The 25,583-nt window shown below is 44.0% G+C and overlaps 1 protein-coding gene and 1 long non-coding RNA gene across 7 annotated transcripts in view, besides 1 other annotated feature; one reads left to right on the top strand and one right to left on the bottom strand.

The window, feature by feature from the left end:
• Window positions 1-2,694: 2,694 nt before the first annotated feature.
• On the bottom strand, window positions 2,695-12,583 carry LOC105378693 (uncharacterized). 2 transcript variants are annotated; one of them, XR_947289.2, is made up of 3 exons: window positions 12,284-12,583; window positions 8,720-8,967; window positions 2,695-2,885 (listed from the first exon to the last, which is right to left on the bottom strand). It is a non-coding gene; the product is annotated as an uncharacterized LOC105378693 (long non-coding RNA). The 2 variants fall into 2 exon arrangements; XR_947290.2 differs by having other exon boundaries at window positions 8,791-8,967.
• Window positions 12,769-13,038: a silencer, noted in NCBI's record as "silent region_834". NCBI's record gives its function as "represses an Ori minimal core promoter by ATAC-STARR-seq in GM12878 lymphoblastoid cells {active_cell/tissue: GM12878}" and the evidence as "EXISTENCE:reporter gene assay evidence [ECO:0000049][PMID:35858748]".
• Window positions 12,879-25,583, top strand: part of IPP (intracisternal A particle-promoted polypeptide) — a 56,330-nt gene continuing 43,625 nt past the window's right edge. For 3 of the 5 annotated variants that reach the window (NM_001145349.2, XM_006710623.5, NM_005897.3), the window contains exons 1-3: window positions 12,879-12,935; window positions 17,071-17,412; window positions 22,200-22,631. In NM_001145349.2, the coding sequence (NP_001138821.1) occupies window positions 17,121-17,412; window positions 22,200-22,631 (724 nt within the window). In that variant the 5' untranslated portion in view covers window positions 12,879-12,935; window positions 17,071-17,120. Of the gene's footprint in view, window positions 13,027-17,070; window positions 17,413-22,199; window positions 22,632-25,583 lie in introns of all 5 variants that reach the window. The other 2 variants (XM_047419673.1, XM_024446763.2) reach the window with 1 other exon arrangement.

Here is a 25,583-nt window from a genome sequence, read left to right as displayed (position 1 = left end):
CTGGCTAATTTTTGTATTTTTAGTAGAGACGAGGTTTCACCATGTTGGCCAGGCTGGTCTTGAACTGCCGACCTCAGGCTATCTGCCCACCTCGGCCTCCCAAAGTGCTGGGATTACAGGCATGAGTCACCGTGCCCCACTGTAATCCTTAAAAAGATATAATTTACAATGGCACAAAGAAAAAAATATTCAGGAATAAATTGAATAAAAGCTATATAATATTATTATGGATAAACTTCTGAAACTTAAAATGTCTAAAATTTAATTTTGTTAATGGATAAGAACACTCAATATTATGAAGTTGTTCTCTCCAAATTCTCATATAGATTTATAGGAACTCTAATAAAACCCCACGTGTGTGTGTGTGTGTGTGTGTATGTGTGTAAAATTTAACAGGCTGATTCTAAAATCTATGTGAAAGAACCAAGAGTACCAAGAATAGCTAAGACACCACTGAAGACGAAGAACAAGATAGGGAAACTTGTCCTACCAGATATCAAGACTTATCACAAAGCTACAGCAATTAAAACAGTAAGGCATGGGTGAATAGAGCAATAGAATTAAATAGAGAATTGATCCTAGCCCAAAGGAAAACATTACATGGGAGAGCTGATACTGCAGATCAGCTGGGAAATATGATCTATTGAATACATAGTGAGTGTTATGACAACAGATTATACATAAGGAAAAACAAAAAAAGAAATTGGATCCCTATCCCAATCTGTACACAAAAATTAATCCCTAGTGACTGAAAGAATTAAATGTGATGGAATATAATACTTTTAGAAGAAAATATAACATTTCTATGATATCGGGGAGGGAAGACATTCTTAAGCACACACCAAAAGTGCAAAACATAAATAGTCTGATAAATTGCTAAAATTATGAACTTTTGTTCAACAAGAGACAATAAATAAAAGGTATAGATAAACCACAAATTGGAAGAATATACTGGCAACGTTGGGACAACTAAGTTCTTCTTCAAAGACTCAACTTCCCGGTCACAAGTTACAGAAGTTGTAAATCAATCCTACCCCCCATTTCCTTCTTCTTTTCACAAATCATGCATTTATGCTATTTGGAAAAGTTTAAGTGTTAGCCAATTAGGATCAGCTTAGATTTTGTGGTCCAACCCCAGCCAATACGGGAAGGACACAGACACAGGGACTGCATTAGGATTAAAAACTCCTTCCCTCCTTTGTTTGGTGTGCTCTTGTGATTGTAACAGGTGCAAGCAGCACCCTTTTGCAGAAGTAAAGATGCCTTGCTGAGAAATTTTCTGTCTAAGTGCAGGTTTCTTTTGGCTATGCCAACCACTTGTTTCCAACAAATTTGGGGGCTCATCTGGGATCCCATTCTCCTTTGGGAGTGGCTAGCAATTATCTTTTATGGGGAGATGCATCCCACTGCCTCATTGTGGTGGCCCCAGGAGTGGAGGATTGATTCCCCCAGGAAGTGACAAATAAATACAGACTCTCAGCAACGTGGGCAGTAGGGAGGATCCTTAAGAACTCCATGGTGACCAGATAACTCTGTGCACAGACCAAGGTAAGAAATGTCCCTACTGGGGCAACAAAGTATTCCTTGGTAGTCAGGGTCTCTGGAGGTTGAAAGTGTGTAAGTGAGATGCGCCATTGCGGGTGATGCGAGTGCAGAGTCCAGACTTGGTTCCATGGTCACCTCATACGGCTTAGGGCCGTTTTCCAGTTGGGGGATTATACTGACCTGCCAATGCTAACAGGGGCCTAAAATTCTCACAAGGGAATTAGCCAATAAGGACGAAGTGAGTGCTCACGAGAGTGCAAGAAACCTCCAGTGGGGACCGGGCATGGTGGTTCACGTCTGTAATCCCAGCACTTTGGGAGGCCGAGGTGGGCAGATTTCCTGAGCTCAGGCAGTTGAAACCAGCCAGGGCAACACGGTGAAACCCCGTTTCTACTAAAAATACAAAAAAAGGCTGAGCACGGTGGCTCACGCCTGTAATCCCAGCACTTTGGGAGGCCGAGGCAGCACTTTGGATCACAAGGTCAGGAGATCGAGACCATCCTGCATAACATGGTGAAACCCCGTCTACTAAAAATACAAAAAAATAGCCAGGCATGGTGGCAGGTGCCTATAGTCCCAGCTACTCAGGAGGCTGAGGCAGAAGAATGGTGTGAACCCGGGAGGCGGAGTTTGCAGTGAGCCAAGATTGTGCCACTGCACTCCAGCCTGGGCGACAGAGCAAGACTCCATCTCAAAAAAAAAATAAATAAAATTTAAAAAATAAATAAAAATACAAAAAAATTAGCCGGGCATGTTGTCATGCATCTGTAGTCCCAGCTACTCGGGAGGCTGAGGGAGGAGAATGGCTTGAACCCGGGAGGCAGAGGTTGTAGTGAGTCGAGATCGCCGCTGCACTCCACACCCCAGCCTGGGTGACAGAGTGAGACTCCGTCTTCAAAAAAAAGAAAAAAAGAAAGAAACCTCCAGTGGGAAAAGGGGAGGTTGAACCTTTAGGATATGGGAGTGCAAGAAATCTCTAATACAAGAGATTGAGCCTCATCAGCCCCCAGGATGGGAAATACCCCAAGTAAGACAGGGACTATAAGAGGCCAAGCAGACAATAAAATTCCCCCGACAGGCCCCTAGGCCTTATGTTAAAATACTGCAAGGATAATGAAAGGACCAAACACAAGAAAAGACAACAAATGATAAAGTATTGCTGTTTTATTTGGACTAAGGAACCCATCCTCAGACCTTTGGTCTTTTGGCCAAAGTTTGGGTTGAACAAGGACTGGATATGCCAACTCCTGATCCAATATGTCAATGATAAAAGTCCAGTTTCTCAAGAGGAGATAGATTATGCTCTATGTTGGAGACAAGGACCTCTCCTTCTCTATCCCCTAAAGGACGAAAAAGCAAAGCCAAACTTAAAATCCCCCAAAGACGACCTAGCTAAGTCATATCCCCTATCTAAAGATGCATGGGATCCTCTAGACCACCTTCTCCCGCCTAACCCTCTGCCCCAAGCTGAACACTCAGTCCCTCCCCCATATAACCCTGCCCCATGGGCCTTGACACCCCACACCCCCATTGGACAGCCACCCGAACATGCCCCTTCCTCAGGAAAGTTCCAACGGGAAATAGAACAATGCCAAGGGATATTCAAAACTTTCGTTTCCCCTCTTCCTCAAAGAAGTGTGCCCCAACTCTTTTTCCCTTAAGGGAAATAACCACTAGGAGGAGGGGATATTGGCTTCATAAATGCCCCCTTAACCAGTTCAGAGGTTAGAAATCTAAAGAAAAGGAACTCAAACCAGTTAGATGACTCTTTTGGAGTCGCAGATCAAATTTACCAATTTCTGGGGCCACAACTGTACACTTGGGCTGAAGTAATGTCTATTCTAGGTATTCTTTTCTTAGGAAAGAACCATGATCCGCAGGGCCGCTGTGATAGTCTAGGAGCACAAGCACCCCTCTTGTCAAAATGTCCTTGCAGTGGAGCATAAATTCCCAGCCCAGGATCCTCAATGGAATAATAACAGTGCGGCCCACCAAGAAAACATGAGAGATCTCAGAGATATGATAATTAAAGGGATTTGGGAAGCCATTCCTCAAACCCAAGATATTTCCCGAGCATTTAATATACAACAAGGGAAAGATGAAGGACCCATGGAATTCTTGAACAGATTTAAGGAACAGATAAGGAAATATGCAAGTTTGGACATAGAGGATCCAATGGGACAAGGGATGTTAAAGCTCCACTTTGTCACCAATAGTTGGCCAGACATTACAAAGAAATTATAAAAGATAGAATATTGGAAAGACCGTCCCATAGAAGAACTTTTAAGAGAGGCCCAAGAGGTATATGTATGAAGGGATGAGGAAAGGCAGAAGCAAGATGCAAAAATTATGCTGTACACCCTACAACAGGGAACTCTTCAACAGGGAGCCCAGGGAACTAGAACTTGTAAACCTTCTAAGTACCCTGGCTGCCAGACCCTATACAGGAAGCAAAGGGATGAAAACCAAGAGTCAGGGAACAGGGAGGGGAAGAAGGGAAAACAGATGTTTCAGGTGTGGAAAGCCAGGACATTCTAAGAGGAAATGTCCCAAATGGGAGAGGGAAAAGAAAGTCCTTCCACTCATGACGTTTGAAGAATAGGGGGGTCAGGGGCTCTACATCTTCCATCTCGTGTCCCACCAAGAGCCCTTGATAAGTTTAACAGTGGGACCCAAATCGGAGACAGTCACTTTCTTAGTAGATTCGGGAGCGGCTTGCTTCCCGCTATGTTTTCTCCCATCAGGTTTAGCCTGGTCAGCAGAAGACCATACTGTCTCAGGAGTTAAAGGGGAGGGTTCAGGGCAAAAACTCTAGAGGAAACCGAAGTCAAATATAAGAATAAGTTGGTTACTACTAAGTTCTTGTTAATTCCTGAAGCAGGAACTAATTTATTAGGAAGGGACTTAATGTTAAGATTAGGCATAGGCCTATATGTTAATCAGGAAAAGCTCCTTACTTCCTTAAACCTGCTCACCACTTCAGAAGAAAGCCACATCCATCCCAACATATGGTCGAAGGAAGGAAATCGAGGAAAGCTACGGGTTACTCTAATCCATGTCAAATTAAAAACTCCTGGGGAAGTAGTGAGAAGAGAACAATACCCTATTCCCTTGGAAGCCAGGATAGGTTTAAAACCTCTAATTGAAAGCCTTGTCCATGACGGACTCCTTAAACCCTGTATGTCCCCTTATAACACTGTAAGGAAGCCAGACGGGTCATACTGGCTAGTGCAAGATCTCCGGGCTATTAATCAAATAGTTCAGACCACCCACACTGTTGTTCCCAATCCTTACACCAATGTCAGTAGAATCCCTCACAACCACCAGCGGTTCACGGTGGTAGATTTAAAAGATGCCTTTTGCGCTTGCCTTTTAGCAGAGGACAGCCAGGACATGTTTGCCTGTGAGTGGGAGGACCCTCACTCCGGTCAAAAACAGCAGTACCAATGGACAGTCTTGCCCCAAGGGTTTACAAAGTCCCCAAATCTATTTGGTCAAATTTTAGAACAAGTCTTGGAAACTTCTCCCTGCCTTCATCCATATGCCAATATGTAGATGACCTGCTCATTTCAGGAGATAACAAGGATCAAGTAACAGCAATTTCAGTTAACTTCCTAAATTTCCTGAGGGAACAAGGGTTACAGGTCTCAAAGAACAAACTTCAAGTCGTAGGACCTGAGGTAAAATATCTAGGACACCTAATCAGCAAAGGTAAGCAAAAGATAGAGCCCAAACGAATTGAAGATATCATATCTTTGCCTTTACCTGAAACAAAGCAGGAACTTAGGAAATTCTTAGGATTGGTCAGATATTGCCATCTGTGGATTGACTCTTATGCCTTAAAAACAAAGCCCCTATATAAAAACTCACTCAAGAAGGAGCAGACCTGCTCCTTTGGACCCTATCAGAGATCCAATAGGTAAAATAATTAAAACACCTGCTTGTAACTGCCCCCATTCTAGCCTTGCCCTCCTTAGAACAGCCATTCCACCTTTTTGTTAATGTAAGCAAAGGAGTGGCCTTAGGGGTACTCACCCAAAAACACGGAGGCCACGGGCAGCCCATAGCCTTCCTGTCAAAAATCCTTGACCCAGTAACCTGTGGATGGCCCGAATGTGTCCAATCCATAGCAGCAACTCCCTTGCTAACAGAAGAAAGCAGGAAAATAACCTTTGGAGGAAACCTCATCATAAGTGTCCCTCATCAAGTGAGAACCGTTCTTAATCAGAAGGCAGGGAGATGGCTCATTGACTCAAGAATTTTAAAATATGAAGCTATCTTATTAGAGAGGGATAACCTAACACTAACCACTGACAATTCACTCAACCCCACTGCTTTCCTAACAGGAAATCCAAACCAGGAAGAACCTGAGCATAAATGCTTAGATTTAATCAGTTATCAAACTAGAGTCAGAGTGGATCTAAGTGAAACCCCTTTCCAAATAGAGGGTCATCTCTTTATAGATGGCTCCTCCTAGGTCATTGAAGCAAAAAGGCACAACGGGTACTCCATAGTTGGTGGGGAAACCCTCACAGAGGTAGAGTCAGGAAGACTGCCAAATAACTGGTTTGCCCAAGCATGTTAACTCTTTGCATTAAACCAAGCCTTAAAATACCTGCAGAATCAGGAAGGAACTATTTACATTGACTCCAAGTATGCCTTCTGAGTAGTCCATACCTTTGGAAAGATCTGGATTGAACAAGGCCTCATCGATAGTAAGGGCCAAGATTTGGTCCCCAAGGAATTAATTATGCAAGTATTAGAAAATCTTCAGCTGCCGGAAGAGATTGCGGTTGTCCATGTCCCACAACACCAACACCAAAAGAACTCATCTTTTGAAAGCTGGGGAAATAACCTCGCAGATCAAGTAGCTAAGCAAGCTGCCTCTTCCCAAGTGTCACCCATTTTCCATCTAACTTCTTCTCTTCCCCCTCCAGCTGCAATCCCCATCTTCTCCCACGCAGACCAAGAGAAACTAAAGAAAACAGGAGCTAAGGAGAGCCCAAAGGGCAAGTGGGTACTAACAGATGGAAGGGAAATGCTGTCTAAACCCCTCATGAGGGAAGTATTGTCACAGCTTTATCAAGGAACTCACTGGGGTCCTCGAGCTATATGCAATGCAGCCCTTAGGGTCTATGGGTGTATAGGGATATATACCCTCGATAAAGTGGCGGATGGTTGCATAGTGTGCAGAAAAACTAATAAGCAAACCCTAAAGAGGCAAGCCTCCCGGGGGAAGAAACCCAGGGCTGAGGCCGTTCTAAAGCGTCCAAGTTGACCACACTGAAATGCCCCCAATAGGCTGTCTCAAGTATTTGCTAGTCATAGTAGACTAGCATCCACTGGGTAGAAGCCATCCCCTTCCCAAGCACAATAGCCAGCAATGTAGTCAAAGCCCTGTTGGAACATATCACCCAGGTTTGGACTAACAGAGAACATTGATTCAGACAATGGGACCCACTTTACTGCACACATCATTAAGGGGCTAACCCAAGCAACAGGAATAAAATGGGAATATCATACTCCCTGGCACTTCCCCTCATCAGGGAGGGTAGAAAGAATGAATCAAACTCTAAAAAATCACCTAACCAGGCCAGGTGCGGTGTAATCCCAGCTTCTCAGGAGGCTGAGGCAAGAAGAATTGCTTGAGACTGGGAGACAGAGGTTACAGTGAGCCGAGATCGTGCCACTGCACTCCAGCCTGGCCAACAGAGTGAGACTCTGTCTCAAAAAAAAAAAAATCACCTAACCAAATTAATCTCGGAAACCCAGTTACCATGGACAAAATGCCTTCCCATGGCCTTACTAAGAATCCAAACTGTCCCTTGAAAAGATCTTGGCCTGTCCCCTTATGAAATGCTCTGCGGGCTGCCTTATCTAAATTCCACTACTGACCTTCCCACATTTGAAACAAAAGGTCAGCTTCTCAAAAACTATATACTTGGTCTGTCTTCCACCCTTTCCTCCCTCAGGACTCAAGGCCTCCTAGCGCAAACTCCACCCCTCGAATTCCCAGTTCACCAACACCAGCCCGGAGATCACGTCCTTATCAAAAGTTGGAAAGAGGGAAAGCTCAAACCAACCTGGGAGGGACCTTATCTAGTACTCCTAACCACTGAAACAGCAATCCCAACGGCTGAAAAAGGATGGACCCACAACACTTGAGTAAAAAAGGCCCCACCCCTTGGAGAGTCATGGACTTTCACTCCAGGACCTACAGTCTCCAAACTAACATTCAAAAGGGTTTAATCTGTCTTTTTCTTCTGCCTTTAGCTACCCAAGGACATCTAATCATCAGTGTAACCCAATCACCCTCCCCCCAAACAATTATATTCAATGCCTGTCTTGTCATGCCCTGTGGGGATCTCCAAAGTCAAAGATAGCTAGCCTCTTCAGAAAAGTACCTTTGTCCCTCTAGGATAAATTACACTGCCTACAAAACTAACTCTTGCACTGAATGGGCACGAACTTAGCATTGATGGTTTTGCTATACTTGGGGAGATGTTATATGGACTACTAAGTATCAGGGCTGGACCTCCTCAGAGGGTTGCACCGCCCTAAATCCTACCTCCACTTCATCAAAGGAACCACCCTCTCTAGTTGCCAATCTTACCATTGCAACCCAGTACTTATCTTTATTAATACCCCTACCTCCACCAGCCCTACACCCACTTTAGAGTGCTTTTATGGCCTAGGAGCAGATGTCACTGGAAAGGACCCTATAGGCTTCTTCGAAACGCACTTTGTTCCTCCTCCTCCATCTTCCACCATTACGCCCTCCCCAAACCCACAAAATCAAACCATTTCTCTCTTCATGCCCAATGACAAAACCAAAGTAGCTAGAGTAGAAGTCAAGGACTTAAACCAAACCATAGCCATAGAAACCGGGTATCAAGATGTAAATGCCTGGCTGAAATGGATTAAATATTCTGTTGACACACTAAATAAAAGCGATTGTTATGCTTGTGCAACGGGCAGGCCAGAAATCCAAATTGTTCCCCTCCCACTCGGATGGGCCAACCAACCCGGCATGGACTGTATGGTAGCTCTCTTCTAGCACCCCACAGCTTGAGGAAACAAGTCATGTGCCACTCTTACTTTTCCCAAAGGTCAGGAGCCCTATGGGACAGCCCCCAAGGGCCATTCAACTTCCAGCTCTTGATGCCAATTTTACCTCATGTCTCTCATGGCAAGGGGAAAATTTGACATTCCTTGGAAACATAATAGGATGTAGTGACACTAAACTTTTTCAAACTTTTTTCAGTCAGTCGGCCCTATCCATCCCTGAGTGGATGTGTGGTGGTATTGTGGGGGACCAATATTGGGTACACTGCCAAACGACTGGAGTGGCACTTGCGCTCTGATCCAATTGGCCATCCCTTTCACCTTGGCATTTCATCAACCAGACAGGAAGCAGGTAACCTGAAGAAAAAGAGAAGTCCCAATTAACGGGTCCTTTGACCCCCACGTTTACATAGACAGCATTGGGGTCCTGCCGGGGGTACCAAATGAATTCAACACTTGAAACCAAATAGCTGCTGGGATCGAGTGTATCTTATTCTGGTGGTACACTATAAATAAAAATGTAGACTGGATAAATTATATATACTACAATCAGCAGCGATTCATCAATTATACCAGAGATGCCATAAAAGGAATAGCTGAACAATTAGGCCCTACCAGCCAGATGGCCTGGGAAAATAGAATAGCGCTTGACATGATGTTAGCCAAAAAAGGCGGAGTCTGTGTCATGATTGGGGTCCAGTGTTGTACTTTTATCCCTAATAATACACCACCCGATGGGACAATCTCAAAAACCTTACAAGGCCTTACCACCCCAGCAAATGAATTAGCCGAAAACTCTGGAATAGAAGATCCCTTTATGGGCCTGATGGAAAGGTGGTTTGGAAAATGGAAAGGACTCATGACCTCAATCATTACCTCCCTTGCAATTGTTACAGGTGTACTCATCCTTGTGGGCTGCTGTATCATACCCTATATTCGTGGGTTAACCCAAAGGCTCATAGAAGCAGCTCTCACAAAATCCTCCCCTACGTCTCCCCCTCTGTACTCAGATAAGTTCTTGCTCCTAGATAATCAAGAAGAACAACAAAGCCAAATCCTGTTGAAGAAATCTGAAGAGGAAGAGCTATAGAACAGAAGAGGGGAAATTGTTGGGACAACTAAGTGCCTCTTCAAAGACTCAACTTTCCGCTCGTAAGTTGTAAAAGTTGTAAATCAATCCTACCTGCCCCCCTTCTTCTTCTTTTTGCAAATTGTGCGTTTACCATATTTGGAAAAGTTTAAGTCTTAGCCAATCAGGATCAGCTTAGATTGTGCAGTCCAACCCCAGTCAATAGGGGAAGGACACAAAAACAGGAACTGCATTAGGATTAAAAACTCCTTCCCTCCTTTGTTTGGTGTGCTCTTGTGATTTTAACAGGCGCAAGCAGCACCATCCTGCAGAAGTAAAGGTGCCTTACTGAGAAATTTTCTGTCTAAGTGTGGGTTTCTTTTGGCTACGCCAAGCACTTGTTTCCAATAAATTTGGGGGCTCGTCTGGGATCCTGTTCTCCTTCGGGAGGGGCTAGCGATTATCTTTTATGGGGAGACGCATCCCACTGCCTCACTGTGGTAGCTCCAAATACCATTACATTGGAGGCTAGGGCTTCAACATGTAAATTATGGGGAGGACACAATTTAGTCTATAGCAGCCTATAAGCATTTTTTTTTTTTTGAGACAAAGTCTTGCTGTTTTGCCCAGGCTGGAGTGCAGTGGCATGATCTCAGTTCACTGCAATCTCTGCCTCCCAGGTCCAAGCAATTCTAAAGTTAACATTTTATTTGGGAGGCAAGAATTGCAATTCAAAGCATATACACAGACTGGGTGTTCTTTGGTTCACTTTGAGGTTTTACAAAAAGGAGAAATGTTACATATGGCTTTGAAAGAAAGTTCATTGGCACTAGGAAAGTTTTAGGTTGCTGGCAAGCTCTGATTGGTGAGTGACTGCAGTGGGTAAAACTAGTCCTTTGAGGCTGGGCTCAGTGGCTCAAGCCTGTAATCCCAGGACTTTGGGAGGTTTAGGTGAGTGGATCACTTAAGCCTGGGAGTTCAAGGCCAGCCTGGCAACATGATGAAACCCTGTCTCTACAAAAAAGACAAAAATTAACTGGGCTTGCTGGTATGCAGCTGTAGTTCCAACTATTTGGGAAGCTAAAGTGGGAGGATTGATTGAGCCCAGGAAGTCAAGGCTGCAGTGAGCCCCGCCCCAATCACACCACTGCACTTCAGCCTGGGTGACAGGGAGAGAGACCCTGTCAAAAACAAAACAACAACCAACAACAACAACAAAAACCACCAAAAAACCAAACTAGTCTTTGAGTCATGGCAGTTTGTTTCAATAGCTATTGGGTAAAACTGGTTTCAGGTTACAACAGGCAGTTTCAGCAGACAGGGTTGCAGAGAATTACATTCTTTGAGCAATGAAATGTGCCCTCAGTGTTTCCCCTCCCACCATTTTCGGTGGGTATGAGAAGAATGGCCCAATCTGTATGCTTAACTTTCACAAGTGTAATCCAGAGTAAGTCATGAAATTGATTTTAGTAGTGCTGAAGTATAATTTTCTGAAGAGTAAAACCATGACTCTCTTACAAATATAAAAAAAAAGTATCAAATATTTTATTTATCTCATTAACTTATAAGGGAGCCAGTAAGATATTTAGGAATGTAGCATGAATTTGCTAAGAATCAGGAATGTTTAAATGAATTTGCTGAGAAGGGTAAAAATGGCTTAATATGCTACAGGTCAATAAAACAATGTTTTGGTGTATCTTTTCTACAGACGGGCAAGAATTATTTTAAGTACTACCAGTTTTCTGGTGAAATACTTTAGTCAATAGAAAGTCAGAGCTCCCTATGGATGCAAATCCGTCCAGCCTTACACTGAAAGGGCACACAGAATTCTCTTTTCCTCATTTCCAAGTCTTTGACAATGTTTGCTGACAATAGGTCCCTGTTAGCAGTTTTTGGTAATGAAGTAGAAAAGAAGAAATAAAAATTTAGTGCACTGCGGGTCGTAAGTGTAAACATAGTTTTGTGAAGATTTTGTTTCAGGCCAGGCACAGTGGCTCACACCTCCCAGCACTTTGGGAGGCCGAGGCGGGCGGATCACTCGAGCCCAGGAGTTGGAGACCAGCCTGGTCAACATGGCGAAATCTTGTCTCTACTAAAAATACAAAAAATTAGCCTGGCGGTGGTGGCACAGGCCTGTAGTCCCAGCTACTCAGGAGGCTGAGGTGGGAGGACTACCAGAGCCCAGGAAGTCGAGGCTGCAGTGAGCCGAGATGGCACCACTGCACTCCAGCCTGGGCGACAAAGCCAGGCCCTGTCTCATAAAAAGAGAAAGAAATACACTTTGGGAGGCCGAGTCGGGCGGATCACCTGAGGTGGGGAGTTTGAGACCAGCCTGACCAACATGGAGAAACTCAGTCTGTACTAAAAATACAAAATTAGCCGGGCATGGTGGCGCATGCCTGCAATCCCAGCTACTTGAGAGGCTGAGGCAGGAGAATCGCTTGAACCCAGGAGGCGGAGGTTGCGGTGAGCCGAGATCCGGCCATTGCATTCATTCTAGCCTGGGCAACAAGAGCGAAATTCCGTCTCAAAAAATAAAAAATAAAAATAAAAATAAAGAAATGAGATTTTATGTTAGATATATACTTCTATATATATACTCACAAGTATGTGGTATTGAGTTTGATGTAAAATATTTTTGTTCACCGTAGGCTGGGATCAAAACAGTTTGAAAGCCACTAATGTGACACATGAGGGTCAACAGTGAAAAAAACTGGACTTTTGAGTTCTTCCTTCCCCAAAATAAGTATCCCTTCAGTGCCAGGCTCAGTCATGCACTCAGAAAACGATTCGAGAGAACAGTAGAGAAGGACCGTGCCAGGTGTTCGGCTCGTCTCTGCTTAACTGAGATCCGCGGCCTTCTTGGGACACCACAAGAATCAGAGTGCAAGCGGAATGGAAAGGGCGAGCCAGCCGGCCCCAGCAGGCAGAAGCAGAGGCTTGCAGCTAAGCTGTTGATCCTTGGGGAAGCAAGCCCAAGCCCTGGGCCCCATCAGTGGGCACTGAGAGGCGCCAGCGGCCCAGTCTCCCGCGAGCGGAAGAACCTCGCGCACGCGCAGTGAAAACCCAGGGCCCGCGAAGCGTCCGAAGTCCCTTCCCACCGCCCGGCTTCGCCTCCAGTTCTCGGGGAACTGTACGGCCCAGTCACTCCCGCCTCGTCACCCCCGCCAGGTTTCCCCCGCCCTCTCCGGCCGGGGCTGGTCGCGACTGCGCGCGCAGGGCCTGAGCGGGCGCCGGAGGGAAGGGGAAGCGGCGGGTAAGGAGGGCCTGCGTTCGGGCGCGTCTGTGACGGGGTTGGGAACTTCCTCTTCTACTCCCTCCGGCTTTCCGGACCCCTGAGGACTGGAGTGAGAGAAGCCTCTAGAACTGTGTATTTCCTTGTCTTTCCTTCTGCCGCCGCAGGCCTTCCTCCGACAGTCTAAGTGTCGCCCTCCCCAGACCTTCTCGTCCGGACCGCTCCTGCCTCCCCCGCCCCAACTGGGGAATCCTGAGGCTGTGTCCCCAGTCCCTCTGTTGTCGCCTCGTTTGTCTGAGATCCCTTCCCTGACCTTTAGGTAGCGCAGGAACGATTATTAGCTTTTAGTGTAGCAGCAGTTTAGGGCTAGCTCTCTAGGCCGGGCCCCCAACTCAAGCACAAAGAACCACGGGTGTTTTGACACTTGTTCCGGGGATTCTTTCTGACACCCCTTTGCTGAAGCAGTTTCCACATGTTCCCAGCAGTGAATTCAAAGCCAGCAAACATAGGTCCGCTTTAGTTCCTCTGGGCATTTCTACCGTTTCCTAATAATCTGCTTTTTTTTTTGAGACAGTCTCGCCCCTTCTCCTAGGCTGGAATGCAGTGGTGCGATCACAACTCACTGCAGCCTCGACTTCTCAGGCTCTAGCGATCCTCTCACCTCAGCCTCCCAAGTAGCCGGAAGTACAGGCTTGCCCCATCACAGCCAGCTAATGTTAAAACAATTTTTTTTGCGGCGGGGGGCTCGCTGTATTGCCCAGGCTGGTCTTGAACTCTAGGACTCAAGCGATCCTCCCTGGCCGGGCGCGGTGGCTCACGCCTGTAATCCCAGCACTTTGGGAGGCCGAGGCGGGCGGATCACGAGGTCAGGAGATCGAGACCATCCTGGCTAACACGGTGAAACCCCGTCTCTACTAAAAATGCAAAAAATTAGCCGGGCGTGGTGGCGGGCGCCTGTAGTCCCAGCTGCTCGGGAGGCTGAGGCAGGAGAATGGCGTGAACCCGGGAGGCGGAGCTTGCAGTGAGCCGAGATCGTGCCACTGCACTCCAGCCTGGGCGACAGAGCGAGACTCCGTCTCAAAAAAAAAAAAACAAAAAACAAAAACAAAACAAAAAAAAAAAACAAAAAATCAAGCGATCCTCCCGACAGGACATCCCAAAGTGCTGGGGTTATAGGTGTGAGCCACCTTGCCCAGTCAACAATCTGCTTTTCAAGTTTGGGGCACGTGAGGCATGCAACGTCACAGAATTGTGCTCTTTTCCTTTGGAAATATGGTCACTCCACATGCCACCTTTTGGGATGACGTTCCTACTCCACTGACAGTGGGATGGTATCAGCAGTTACTGAGAAGCATGGTAACAGACTAGTATTTCTGTTGTCTGCCACCCGAATGGATATTCAGTCAACTCTTTCTTGTAGCAGGAGGCAGCATTTTAGCTCAGTGGCTGTGCTTGATGCCTTGAAGTAGGGGACAGAGGAGGTACCTTGTAATTAAACCACTAGGGTTCAAAATGTGCTGACAGAAATGTAAAACAGAAAAGGCCTGACAGTCATGTCATGTTGATAATAGTTCCAGGTCACATTTCTGTGTAGGGCCAAATACATGGTTTCTCCGCCCCCACCCCCTTTTTTTCCTTTTTTTTTTTTGAGACGGAGTCTCTCTGTTGCCCAGGCTGGAATGCAGTGGCTCCATCTCCACTCACTGCAACCTCTGCCTCCCAGGTTCAAGCGATTCTCCTGCCTCAGCCGCCCACGTCACTGGGATTACAGGCGCCCACCACCATGACTGGGTAATTTTTTGTATTTTTTAGTAGAGATGGGGTCACCATGTTGGCCAGGCTGGTCCTGAACGCCTGACCTCTGGTGATCCACCCGCCTCAGCCTTCCAAAGTGCTGGGATTAAAGGCGTGAGTCACCGCACCTGCTTTTTGTTGTTGTTGTTGTTGAGACACGGTCTTGCTCTGTTGTCCAGGCTGGAGTGCAGTGGCACCATCTCAGCTCACTGCAGCCTGGACTTCCCTGGCTCAGGTGGTCCTCCCACCTCAGCCTCCCCTGAGTAGCTGGGACTACAGGCCTGTGCTATCATGCCTGGCTAATTTTTTTGTATTTTTAGTAGAGACAGGGTTTAGCCATGTTGCCCAGACTGGTCTCAAACTCCTGGACTCAAGCGATCTGCCTGCCTCAGCCTCCTAAAAATCTGGGCTTACAGGTATGAGCCACTGTGCCCAGCCCCTTTCACCCTCTTTAAAAAATTTATTTTTCACTTCAATTTGGGTGACAGAGTGAGACCCTGTCCCCCAAAATAGATATTTTTTAAATTGGCACATAATAATTGTTTTATATTTACATTTATGAGGTACAGTGTGATATTTTGATACATGTATATAATGTATAATTATCAAATCAGGGTAATTACCATATTCATCACCTCAAACACTTCTTGCTATTATATGCTAGTTATATGTAATATGTTGATATTCTGTAGATGGTGATATGAAGTTTTAGCAGCTACCTTCGAATCTCTCAATCAAATTTCTCAATAAGTTAATTCCTAGAAAGTGATGATAATCAGCCTTGTTATTTTGACTTTGATAAGTTTAAATGCTATAAACGTAACCATTTTTTTTCTAACATCAGCCCACACTATAAGTCTTATTACCCATTGTCATTGATACCTAAATTACAAAATCTTAGTCATCTTAAATTTCCCTGTGCTATTCCATATGTCTTATATTACAGGATCTCATGGTTTTTTTTTTTTTTTTTTTTTTTTTTTTTTTTTGAGACAGAGTCTTGCTCTGTTACCCAGGCTGGAGAGCGGAGGGCAGTGGTGTGATCTCAGCTCACTGCAACCTCCATCTCCTGGGCTCAGGTGATTCTTGTGCCTCAGCCTCCCAAGTAGCTGGGATTATAGCCCTGATCCACCACGCCTGGCTAATTTTTATATTTTTAGAAGAGACGGGGTTTTGTCATGTTGGTCAGGTTGGTCTCGAACTCCTGGATTCAAGTGATCCTCACGCCTCAGCATCCCAACGTGCTGGGATTACAGGCGTGAGCCACTGTGCCCAGCAGTTTCTTTATTTAAAAAGTAATTTAGAACGTGTCCGGTGGCCTAATAATTCCTATGCAGTGTGATATGGTGGAACAGTCCTGGATTTAGAGTAAGAAGGCCTGGATTCAGATACTGAGACTGTCATACTAACATTGTATCCTTGGGGAAACTTTGAGCTTCAGTTTCCTTTTCTCTCATTTTAGATAAGATTATCTTTTCTTCTCACCTCTTAATTATTGTGAGAGTTACCATTGACATAATATGTGGAGAAGTTAAAAGTTAAAAAAAAAACCCAACCTAAGCTGTTGTTATTTCTCCTTGTTCTCATTCATTTCACAAACATTGGAAACCTAACATATGTTATATACTGGTGCTAAAGCTATGAAAGATAGTACCTGCCTTTAAAGGGCTGTGTTTCAAGGAGCTCTGAAGCGCGCGCGCGCGCTCGTGTGCGCGCGCATGCGCGCACTAAGAGTAGGGTGGTAGGGTATTTGATAAGGTAGACCTGTGCTATAGAATGTAAAACCAATAAGCTTAGGGTGAGCAACAAACTCAGATGAGTTTGGGAACATATTTCCACAATTCCAGAGGAGCAATGGGGAAAGGTTCCTGGAGGAAGTTATATTTGAACAGAGTCTTAAATTATAACAAGAATCCCGAAGGGCTTTGTGTGCTACGGGAAGTGTACACATTGAATGATTTTAAGCAGTTAGACTGATCACAACTGCTTTTCGAAAGTTGCTGTTGTCTGTGATGTGTGCTCTGTGATGTGTGCTTTGTTAACTTTCTGTCTTTGTGTTTTATTATTATTTTTTTTACTCCATCAAGAAGTGTCCTCTCCTCATACCTTAATATTAACTGTTTATCTTTCAGTTTCTAGTGCAGGTCCCATTTCTTGTGTGAAGCATTCTCCAATTATTTTAGCTTCCCTACTTATTTCATTCTCTGAAACCATATTAGAAATAGTAATAGTACCACACTTTAGTCCTTATTTGTTTTATGTCCTTAAGTAGATTTTAAGTATAGAGAATGCTTCTTATGTGTGAATAGAAAGCATGTTAAAAAAATTTTGTTGCTTGATCTCTTTGTATTTTGTTTTTCAGGGTAGTAACAGATTATGGGCAACAGTCCTTTTAATTAATCTACCGTCATCATGGCTAATGAGGACTGTCCCAAGGCTGCTGATAGTCCTTTTTCATCAGATAAACATGCCCAACTCATCTTGGCCCAAATCAATAAGATGAGAAATGGACAGCATTTCTGTGATGTGCAGCTGCAAGTTGGACAGGAAAGTTTTAAAGCTCATCGGCTGGTTTTGGCTGCCAGCAGTCCTTACTTTGCAGCTTTGTTCACTGGAGGAATGAAAGAGTCCTCAAAAGATGTTGTACCGATTCTAGGAATTGAAGCAGGAATCTTTCAGATACTTCTAGATTTCATTTACACAGGTATGTTACATGAGTCTGTTGCTTTGACTGAAGAATGATTCAATCACTCATGCACTAATGTGGAAATATAAATTGATCTAACTTATCTAGAAGGTAATTTAGCAACATGTTATTATGTGACTGAAAATTCATATCTTATGACCCGGTGCTCCTTTTCTAGGAATCTGAAGGAATTAATTAGTGATGCAGGCACATATTTACAAACCAGGATTTTATTGTAACATTATTATTATTATTTTATTTTATTCTTTTTTTGAGATGGAGTCTCTCTCTGTCGCCCAAGCTGGAGTGCAGTGGGGCGATCTTGGCTCATGGCAACCTCTGCCTCCCAGGTTCAAGCGATTCTCCTGCCTCAGCCTCCTGAGTAGCTGGGACACAGGCGCATGCCACCACACCTGGCTAATTTTTTTTTTTTTTTAATTTTTAGTAGAGACAGGATTTCACTGTGTTAGCCAGGATTGTCTCGATCTCCTGACCTCATGATCCGCCCGCCTTGGCCTCCCAAAGTGCTGGGATTACAGGCGTGAGCCACTGCGCCTGGCCTGTGACTTTATTTATAGTAGTATATAATTGAATAAAATCTTGTCTCAGTAGGTTTTATGGCTAAATAAATTATGATACATGTATAGATCTCACAAATGAGATCTAACAAATCTTAAAATATATGTATACTATTATGGAAGAATGTTTACAATATATAAAATTTTAAAAATCAGGATATAAATAAACCCCTATTTTGTTTGAAACACAACCCAAAAAAACTTATATGTATTTACACATGAGAAAGCAGCCAGAATGTTTGATAGCATTTATCTGTAGGTAATTTTTTTCCACAAAGTGTTTATAATCAGCATATGTTATTTTACTCAAAACTATCTCTTAAATGTTTTTGAAGAGTTTTAATAACATTAGAGAATGTACACAGGGGCACAGTGGTTCATGCCTGTAATCCCAGCACTTCGGGAGGCCAATGTGAGAGGATTGCTTGAGGCCAGGAGCTCAAGACTATGCAGGACAACATAGCAAGACCCCATTTCTAAAACAAAAAAAATTTTGTTTGAGACAGGGTCTCTCTCTGTTGTCTAGGCTGGAGTGTGGTGGTGCACTCACACTTCAATGCAGCCTTAATCTCCTGGGCTCAAGTAGTGCTACCATCTCACCACCCTGCATAGCTGTGACTACAGGTATGTGCCACCATGCCTGACTAATGTAAAACAAATTTTTTGTAGAGACAGGGTCTCACTACATTGCCCAGGCTAAAAAAAAATTTTTTTTTTTTTTTGAGACAGAGTCTCGCTCTGTCACCAGGCTGGAGTGTAGTGGCGTGGTCTCGGCTCACTGCAACCTCCGCCTCCCAGGTTCAAGTGATTCTCCTGCCTCAGCCTCCCGAGTAGCTGGGACTACAGGCACGTGCCACCATGCCCAGCTAATTTTTATATTTTTAGTATAGACGGGGTTTCACCATGTTGGCCAGGATGGTCTCGATCTCTTGACTTCGTGATCCACCTGCCTCGGCCTCCCAAAGTACTGGGATTGCAGGCGTGAGCCACTACGCCTAGCCAAAAAAAAATTTTTTTTAATTAGCTGGGTGTGTGGCTTGTGTCTTTAGTCCCAGCTAACGGGAGGCTGATGTGGGAGGATCCAGGAGTTTGAGGCTGCAGTGAGCTATGATCAAGCTGCTGCACCCTGGACTGGGAGACAGAGTGAGACCCCATCTCTGAATAAAATAAAACAACTGGAATGATGAAGAGGGGAGTAGGGGAAGGGGAAAGAAAGAGAAGGCACACCAAAACGATGTATAGTCTTACAGGATATGCAATAAATATGCATAGAAAAAAGATTTGAAAGGCTGAGATGGGATGATCACTTGAGCCCAGGATGCTGCGGCTTCAGTGAGTGATGATCATGCTACTGCACTCCAGCCTGGGCAACAGAACAAGACACTGTCTCAAAAAGAGAGAGAGAAAAACTATGTGAAGAAAGACACTACAGTGTTAATACAATGTATGTCTGTGTATGGAAAAATATGTTTTTCATTTTAGTTTTTCTGTCTTAAAGTTCTTTTTCCACAGTGAATATATATTACTCTTTTTTTTTTTTTTGGTGACGGGGTTTCACTTTGTCGCCCAGGCTGGAGTATAGTGGCACAATCTTGGCTCACTGCAACGTCTGCCTCCCAGTTTCAAGCGATTCTCCTGCTTCAGCCTCCCAAGTAGCTGGGATTATAGGCTTGCACTAACATGCCCAGCTAATTTTTGTATTTTTTTTTTTAGTAGAGACGGGTTTTCACCATGTTGGCCCGGCTGGTCTCAAACTCCTGACCTCAAGTGATCCACTCACCTCAGCTTCCTAAAGTTCTGGGATTACAGGGGAGAGCCACTGTGCCCAGCCTCTTTTATTTTTTATTTTGTGAGACAGAGTCTTGCTTTGTCACCCACGCTGGAATGCAGTGGCAAAATCATTGCAGCTTGACCTCCAGGGCTCAAGCTATCCTCCCACCTCAGCCTCCTGAGTACCTGTAGGACCACAACACACACCACCATGCCTGGCTAATTTTTAAATTTTTTTTGTAGAGATTATGTCTAGCTATGTTGCCCAGACTGGTCTCAAACTCCTAGGCTCAAGCAATCCTCCCACCTCAGCCTCCCTAGTAGCTGAGACTACAGGCGCACATGCTACCACACCTGGCTAATTTTTTTTTTTTTGAGGCGGAGTCTTGCTGGGCTTAGTGGCGCACACCTGTAGTCCCAGCTACTCAGGAGGCTGAGCCAGGAGAATTGCTTGAACCTGGGAGGCAGAGGTTGCAGTGAGCAGAGACCATGCCACTGTACTCTAGCCTGGGCAACAGAGCAAGAGCCTGTCTCAGAAAAAAAAAAAAAAAAAGATGGGTGTGGTGGCTCACGCCTGTAATCCCAGCACTTTGGGAGGCTGAGGTGGGTGGATCACCTGAGGCCAGGAGTTCGAGACCAGCCTGACCAACATGGTGAAACCTCGTCCCTACTGAAAATACAAAAATTAGCTGGTTATGGTGGTGCGCATCTGTAATCCTGGCTACTTAGGAGGCTGAGGCAGGAAAATCACTTGAACCCAGGAGGTGTTGGTTGTAGTGGGCCGAGGATGCACCACTATACTCCAACCTGGGTGACATAGTGAGACTCTGTCTCGAAAAAAATAAAAAAATAAAAAAATAAAAAAAAGAAAGTGAAGCCCTTGGAAAAGAAAGTGGTATACGTAGTTAAGTATTTAATAGTTTCTCTTATGTTATAGATTATTGGTTATTCCTAATATTAAAAACTAGCATTGTGTATAATCCCTGCACTTTGGGAGGCTGAGGTGGGTGGATTGCTTGAGCCCAGGAGTTTGAGATCAGCCTGGGCAATGCGGCAAAACCCTGTCTCTAAAAAAAAAACCACAGAAAATTAGCCGATCATGGTGGTGAGTGTCTGTAGTACCAGCTACTCGGGAGGTTGAGGTGGGAGGCTCACCTGAGCGTGGGAGGCAGAGGTTGCAGTGGGCCAAGATTGCGCCACTGCACTCCAGCCTGGACAACAGAATGAGACACTGTCTCAAAACAAGCACAAACAAAAAATGAACATTATGTGGCGTTTTATCATAATTGAAGATAGAGACCTTGTCTTACTCTCCCCAGTGCCTCAGTAAATGTCTGTTACATGCATATAACCTTATGTTAAAAGCATAGACTTTATTTGTTGTTGTTGCTGTTGTTGTTTGTTTTTTTTCTTTCCAACTTTTAGGTTCAAGAGGTACATATGCGGGTTTGTTCCATGGGTAAATTGTGTGTCTTGGGGGCTTGGTATGTAGATAATTTTGTCCCCCAGTTAATCAGTATAATACCTGATAGGTAGTTTTTCAATCTTTACCCTCCTCCTACCCTCCACTCTCAAGTAGGCCCGAATGTGTATCCATGTCTTCTTGGTGTCCACGTGTATGCAATGTTTAGCTCCCATTTATGAGTGAGAACATATGATATTTGGTTTTCTGTACTTGTGTTAATTTGCTTAGAATCATGGCCTCCAGCTCCATCTGTGTTGCTGTAAAGCACATGATTTCCTTCTTTTTTATGGCAAAAGCATGGACTTTGATGTCAACCCCTACCTTGCAACTTGCTTTACCATGCAACTTGTGGACAAGTGACTTAAACTTTGATTCTGTTTCTTTAATATGAAAATAAGGCTGGGCGCGGTGGCTCACGCCTGTAATCCCAGCACTTTGGGAGGCCGAGGCGGGCGGATCACAAGGTCAGGAGATCGAGACCATCTTGGCTAACACGGTGAAACCCCGTCTCTACTAAAAATACAAAAAATTAGCCGGGCGCAGTGGCGGGCGCCTGTAGTCCCAGCTACTCGGGAGGCTGAGGCAGGAGAATGGCGTGAACCTGGGAGGCGGAGCTTGCAGTGAGCCAAGATTGTGCCACTGCAATCCGGCCTGGGCTAAAGAGCGGGACTCCGTCTCAAAAAAAAAAAAAAAAAAAAAAAGAAAATAAGAAAAATAATAATATCTACCACATGGGATTATAATAAGGGTTAAATTAGCATATAAAGCAATTAATACTGCACCTGGTTCATTGTAAGTTTTTCATAAATGTGTTAGGTATCGTTATCGTTTAAATTTTGTGCTCTTTACTCAAATCCTTGATTGCCTTTTTTAGTGTCTGTCTACTCTGCAGGCATCAAACTATCAGTGAAATCAAGTATAATACTTTTTGAATATGGTAAGCCAATGTTTGTTTTTATTTTATTGGCCATTTTGTCTTCCTACTTCTCTAGGTATAGTGAACATAGGTGTGAATAATGTCCAGGAGTTGATTATTGCAGCAGACATGCTACAGTTGACTGAAGTTGTTCATCTTTGCTGTGAATTTCTGAAAGGACAAATTGATCCACTGAACTGCATTGGAATTTTTCAGTTCTCTGAGCAAATTGCCTGCCATGATCTCTTGGAATTCTCAGAAAACTACATTCATGTCCATTTCTTGGAGGTTCATAGTGGAGAAGAGTTCCTGGCACTTACGAAAGATCAGCTGATCAAAATTTTGCGAAGTGAAGAGCTTAGCATTGAGGATGAATACCAGGTCTTCTTAGCTGCAATGCAATGGATTCTGAAAGATTTGGGAAAAAGAAGAAAACATGTGGTGGAAGTGCTAGACCCAATTCGATTCCCTTTATTACCTCCTCAGAGACTTTTAAAGTATATAGAAGGTAACTTTTTTGCTATATATCGAATTAGTTGATTAATTATCCAGTGATGTGTTCTCTGAAATGTGGGAGAGTGTTTTCATTTTTTGGTTCAGTAACAGACATTTATTGAATGATTACTCTTTTTTTTTCTTTTTTTAAAATGTATTGAATGATTAAGATACAACTTTTGTGTTCTGTGGGTGGGCAGTAGTATTTTAATATTTCTACCCACTATTTTTATCAAAATCTTTCTTGAGATTGATTACTAAGGCAGATTAGTGTTATAGATAAAAATTACTGACAGAGCTACTAACATACCACTGCTGTTGACAGAACCAATTATTTCAGTTAAGATTTCCTAGGGGGGGTCAGCCCCCCGCCCGGCCAGCCGCCCTGTCTGGGAGGGAGGTGGGGGGGTCAGCCCCCCGCCCGGCCAGCCGCCCCGTTCGGGAGGGAGATGGGGGGTTCAGCCCCCCGCCCGGCCAGCCGCCCCGTCCGGGAGGTGAGGGGCGCCTCTGCCCGGCCGCCCCTACTGGGAAGTGAGGAGCCCCTCTGCCCAGCCACCACCCTGTCTGGGAGGTGTACCCAACAGCTCATTGAGAACGGGCCATGATGACAATGGCGGTTTTGTGGAATAGAAAAGGGGGAAAGGTGGGGAAAAGATTGAGAAATCGGATGGTTGCTGTGTCTGTGTAGAAAGAGGTAGACATGGGAGACTTTTCATTTTGTTCTGTGCTAAGAAAAATTCTTCTGCCTTGGGATCCTGTTGATCTATGACCTTACCCCCAACCCTGTGCTCTCTGAAAAATGGGCTGTGTCCACTCAGGGTTAAATGGATTAAGGGCGGTGCAAGATGTGCTTTGTTAAACAGATGCTTGAAGGCAGCATGCTCGTTAAGAGTCATCACCACTCCCTAATCTCAAGTACCCAGGGACACAAACACTGCGGAAGGCCGCAGGGTCCTCTGCCTAGAAAACCAGAGACCTTTGTTCACTTGTTTATCTGCTGACCTTCCCTCCACTATTGTCCTATGACCCTGCCAAATCCCCCTCTACGAGAAACACCCAAGAATGATCAATTAAAAAAAAAAAAAAAAAGATTTCCTCTTGCTACTCTGAAAAATTAAGCAAAACCTAACACTTGGAGAAAATGCATACACTAAAAATAAAAAAATTCAATGAATCCTGTAAATCCTTTCATTATAAAATAAATTTGGTATTGATATACAATTATGGCCTCTGAGTAGCCTTTGAATCATCTTTAGATTCTAAACTTAATTCTGAAAATATGTTTTACCATAGTATAAAATAGTTTTTATGTTTATATTAGAAAAATGATGTTTAAATTTATTTCTAAGAATTACTTTAGGCCAGGTGCAATGGTTCACGCCTATAATTCTGGCACTTTAGCAGGCCAAGGCAGGCAGATCGCTTTAGCACAAGAATTCAAGACCAGCCTGGGCAACATGGTGAAACCCTGTCTCTACAAAAAAAAAAAAAAAAAAAAAAAAAAGGCAAAAAATTAGCCCAGCACGGTGGCATGCACTTATAGTCACTGCTACCTGGGAGGCTGAGGTGGGAGGATCACCTGAGTCCAGGAGGTCAAGGCTACATTGAGCCAGGATTGTGCCATTGCTCTCCAGCCTACTTTAGACCTGGTTTTGAGATTTGAAGTTTTTACTCTTGTCATGCACTGAAAGATTAGGTTGCTATTGAATTACAAATGATTTTATTACAAGTTAAATACACTACTAAGCATTAACGGTGTAATTCTGTAAATACATAATTTAAAATAATGAGTTATTAGTTTTTCTCCACTCTTAGCAATGTTAACATAATTTTGTAGGTTTTTCTGAGTGATATCTTGTTTTACTACAGATATAGTTGATTGTTATTTGCAGTAGCTATGTTGTATAAGTCTGCTGCAAACACGGAATTAGCAAATACTGAACAATTGCTCCTAGGGGAAATACAGGTTTAGGTTCCTGCAAGCCTATAGTCACAACATTTTTGTCACATAGTCAATAGAGCCTTGTTTTATATAGATTTTTTTCTTGTTTTTTTTTTTTTTTTTTTTTTTTTTGAGATGGAGTCTTGCTCTGTCACCCAGGCTGGAGTGCAGTGGCACAATCTCGGCTCACTGCAAGCTCCGCCTCCTGGGTTCACACCATTCTCCTGCCTCAGCCTCCCAAGTAGCTGGGACTACAGGCGCCCGCCACCATGCCCGGCTAATTTTTTGTATTTTTAGTAGAGACAGGGTTTCACCGTGTTAGCCAGGATGGTCTCGATCTCCTGACCTCGTGATCCACCCGCTTCGGCCTCCCAAAGTGCTGGGATTGTAGGTGTGAGCCACTACGCCCGGCCTATATAGGTTTTTGTCTAAAACCACCTTATTTAATATATATTATTGATTCATTAACAATGAACTCATGGCCACCAGTCTATAACTCATCCCTGAATGAAACTCTATCTAACATAGGTATTTTCTCTGTAAGGCACTTCATAGCTTTCTTGCACTTAGGGACACTAGGTAACAACTGAACATTATGGTTAGGGGCCATTTTAAACAGCAAAATTACCAACAAAAAGCACAAAAATGCAAAAAAAAAAATGACACTAAATAGACTGTGGAAAAGGATACTTGTTTATAGCATAAGAGCTGAAATGAGAAGACAGAGTGAAACTTTGACCTCACCCAGAAAGTACATGTAGGGTGATTTAAATTTTTTGCCACTCTGTGCATGTCTGTGAATGACTGCAAAAGAACAAGTGCAGTAGTCCCCCTTTATCCATGGGGGATACATTCTAAGAACCCCCCAGTGGATGCCTGAAACTGTAGGTGATAATGAACCTAATGTACATTATGTTTTTTCCTATAAATACATACCTATGATAAAGTTTAATTTATAAATTAGAGACAGTAAGAGATTAATAATAGCTAATAATAAAGTAGAACAATTATGTTCATATTTGT

This window comes from Homo sapiens, chromosome 1, assembly GCF_000001405.40.
Source record: "Homo sapiens chromosome 1, GRCh38.p14 Primary Assembly".
Classification (NCBI taxonomy): Eukaryota; Metazoa; Chordata; class Mammalia; order Primates; family Hominidae; genus Homo; species Homo sapiens.
This window is presented reverse-complemented; position numbering and strand designations above follow the sequence as displayed.